We start from the raw sequence: 4,060 nt of genomic DNA on the forward strand, positions 1-4,060 counted from the left end.
GTCTGAGATTTTCTCAGTTCAAAGCTGCAATGTCAAATGGGACAGAAAGGCTGCTTATCACTTGCAGCTGAGGGGCTAGAGAGTCCCAGGCAGAGGGACAGCTCAAGTGAAGGCCCTGGGACAGGAGCAACATCACCCTCCCAACAAAGGAAAGCAGCCCGTGTGGCTGGAGCAGTGGAAGAGAGAAGGGCACAGGTAGGAGATGAGGTCAGAGAGGTCCTGGGGACAGAGATCCATAGGGTTAAGGACTTCAAACATTTTTCTCCCACAACCCAAAAGCATTTTGAAAGTCCACTGTGATCCCAGCTACTCGGGGGGCAGAGGTAGGAGCATCGCTTGAACCCGGAAGAAGGAGGTTGCAGTGAATCAAGATTGAGCCACTGAACTCCAGCCTGGGTGAGAAGAGCCAAACTCTGCCACACACACACACACACACACACACACACACACACACACACACACACACACACAAAAGTGATGTATCTTCTCAGTCATTTCATGTATACGTGTAACTTTCTCTTTATATTATAAATTACAACATTTACAAATAAAGGAATTTATCTCCCATATTTCAAAAACATGCTGTCAAGTTTGGCTAAGTCCCCAGAAGTACACAGTCACCCTCATCTGAGACGTGTAGGACTGCAAGGGAATGTGTTTGGGGGTTTAGGAAGTCACTTATGGACACGTGAAGGTGGAGATGCCTGTTTGATGTCCCAGCAGAGAGCTGAGGAGACAACTGGACACAGGATTGTAGAGCTCAGTGGAGAGGCCTGCAGGGGACATGGGTAGGTGGGTTAAAGCCCTGAGATGAGATAAGGAAAAGCAGTGGGTGTGGACAGAGACAAGAATAAGTTCAAGATGATTTGAGTCTAATCCCGTTTTTCCATTCCGGTATTTGTGGGTTTTTTTACATTTTTGGAGGACAGGAATCCATTTAAAATTCAAATCACACCTGAGCATCACCCTCTCCTACAGGAAAAGCCACACACTTATTTGGCAAAGTATTTCAGGGGTCAGCGTCACTCTGACTGAGCTTTTCTGGTCTTATTCCTCACCTGTACATTACTGGTTGAGTCACTGTTGTTACGAGCAGGAGACACTTCACCAAGTTATCCTGAGAAGCTCCGAGTTGAGTCAGAAGGAGGTGTGGCTGATTCCCACGTGATGGTCTGGAAGCGCCAATAGGCTGTGTTGGTCTTCCTTCTCTAGAAAATTCCAGGATGGGCCGGGCATGGCGGCTCACCCTGTAATCCCAGCACTTTGGGAGGCTGAAGTGGGTAGACCATTGAGCCCAGGAATTTGAAACCAACGTGGGAGACGTGGTGAAACCGCGTCTCTACCAAAAGTATAAAAAATTAGCCAGGTCTGGTGGTGTGCATCTGTGGTCTCAGCTATTTGGGAGGCGGACTGGGGTGGATCACTGGGCCTGGGAGATGGAGGTTGCAGTGAGCCAAGATTGTGTCCCTGCACTCAAGTATGGGTGACAGAGTGACACTCTTGTCTCAAAAAAGGAAGAAAAAAGTTTCAGGACCATTCTATATACCTGAGCAAATGAAATGTCTCTTTCAATGTCTAAGGTTTTGATGGCATGAATCCTAAACATAATTATTTTCTGAGAAAAATGATTGTAATACGTTCAAAATAAACACAATTTTGAACACATAGCTATAAGTGTTTAAAACATTGAAAAAGAAGCAGCGGTACAAATGAGATCTGAGCAAATGTTTTCGTCATGAACATATGGGCTCTGCTGGAACAAGGTTCCAGGTCAATCCAGCCCATCCTTCAACATCTGCAAAGAATATTATGGACCAGAGGAACTTGAAGGGAACATTTACTTAAAAGCTCACAGCTCACTATTTAGTCAGATGACATAAAGAAAATGGAATAATAGGCTACATGAACTAAATTTTGATGTTAGCATAAAGAAAAAGTTCCTTGATATCTTTATCAAGTACACATTGAAACAAGCTAAAATCATTTATCAGGTACCAGAAAATGTTTCCAATATATGACACAGACTAGAAAGCATGCAGTCCTCAATGTAAACTAAACACAATAAATTTCAGAGAAAAACAATTTACAGTGGTTAAAAAAATATATATATATATAATAAAATGTGGGGTCAAAGAAATTTTTCAATACATATCATAGTTGGAAAACAATGATGTGACTTCGTAAGATTATACCAAAGCTTATTTGAGAAGCAGTTATTTACTTTATTTTTATTTTGTTGAGATGGAGTCTCACCCTGTAGCCCAGCTGGAGTGTAGGTGCGCCATCTCAGCTCATTGCAATGTCCGCCTCCTGGATTCAAGCGATTCTCCTGCCTCAGCCTCCTGAGTAGCTGGGATTACAGGCACTCGCCACCAAACCAAGCTAATTTCTATATTTTAGTCAAGACGAGGATTCACCATGTTACCCAGGCTGTTCTCAAATACCTTGCCTCTGGTGATCCGCCTGTTGTGGCCTCCCAAAGTGCTGGGATTACAGGTGTGAGCCACAGCACCTGGCTTTTTTTTTTTTTTTTAATTAAGAAACAAGCCGGGCTTGGTGGCTCATGACTGTAATCCCAGCACTTTGGGAGGCCGATGCAGCTGGATCGCCTCAGCCCTGGAGTTCGAGACCAGCTTGGGCAACATGGTGAAAGCCCATCTCTACTAGGAACACAAAAATTTGCCGGGTGCAATGGCGCATGGCTGTGGTCCCAGTGACTTTGGAGGCTGAAATGGGAGGATCCCTTGAACCCAGGAGGTTGAAGCTGCAGTGAGCTCTGATGCTGTCACTGCTTTCATGCCTGGGCAACAGAATGAGACCCATCTCCAATAAAAATGACAAAAGAGGAAACACATGCGTCCTGGGTCTGGGGACAGGGGGAATCTAAGGCCAATTAACACGAACCTCAGGAGGTCCTGACGATGTGTGCCCAAGGTGTTGAGGCTGCAGTTTACTTTCACACATTTTATGGACACGAGACAGCAATCAATACATAAAACATATACATTGTTCCGGTCTGGAAAGGTGGAATAACTGGAATTGGGGGGCTTCCGGGTCACAGGTAGATAACAAATGATCACATTCTTTGAGTCTTTGATCAGCCTTTCACTAAATACACAATTTATATGTGAGAGCGGGAGGAGGAATAGTCACTTACGTCTTAGACTGGAGTACAGTGGCATGATCACGGCTCCCTGCAGCCTCTACCTCCCAGGCTCAAGCCATCCTCCCAATGCAGTCTCCACAGAAGCTGAACCAGCAGACATGTGCCACCATGCCCAGCTAATTTTTGTATTTTTTGTGGAGACAGGGGTTTCACCATTCTGTCCAGGCTGGTCTTGAATACCGGGGCTCACATGACCCAGCTGTCTCAACCTCTGAAAGTGCTGGTATTACAGGCCTGAGCCACTGCATCTGGTCTCATCGCAAATTTGATATTTCTTCTTGTTTCAATTTTAGCAGAATTTACATTGCTTTGATTGAGTCTCTTTTCAAACTGATTTTACCCTTCTGAGTGCCTCAAACTAGACCCTGTTCAGACATGTTATAACAGATTTGTACCATTTTATTTTGGTGCAAAAAATGTGACATCATGCACAATTTTCTCATAACATGTATTTTTTCATGAACTTCGTGAAGACCCCTTGTACTAGCAAACTGTATTCAAGAGGATATAAAAAGGATTGTAGATATGCAAGTGCCACTTATTTCTGAGATACAAGGATGGTTCAACATATTCAAGCAAATCAATGTGATATACCACTTGAACATAATGAAAGATGAAAACCACATCATCTCAATACATGTAGAAAAAGCATTTCACAAAATTCAACATCATCATGGAAATCCTACCAAAAATAGTTAGAGAAGGAAATTTACCTCAACAGTACAAAGACAATCCATGAAACGACCACAGTGGAAATAAACAATCAGGGAAAATGGAATGCTTTTCCTGTAGGATCTCACATGATGCAAGAATGCTCTCACCCTTTCTATTCAATCAATGCTGGCTGTCCCAGCCAGAACAATGAAATAGCAATAGAAATCGAACTCATCCAAA

The 4,060-nt window shown here is 43.6% G+C and overlaps 1 protein-coding gene across 1 annotated transcript in view; it reads right to left on the minus strand.

The window, feature by feature from the left end:
* The window catches only part of ZNF600 (zinc finger protein 600), a 69,482-nt gene that overhangs the window by 29,184 nt on the left and 36,238 nt on the right, over positions 1–4,060 (minus strand). The window lies entirely within an intron of this gene.

The sequence above is a fragment of the Homo sapiens genome, chromosome 19 (genome assembly GCF_000001405.40).
Source record: "Homo sapiens chromosome 19, GRCh38.p14 Primary Assembly".
Taxonomy (NCBI): Eukaryota; Metazoa; Chordata; class Mammalia; order Primates; family Hominidae; genus Homo; species Homo sapiens.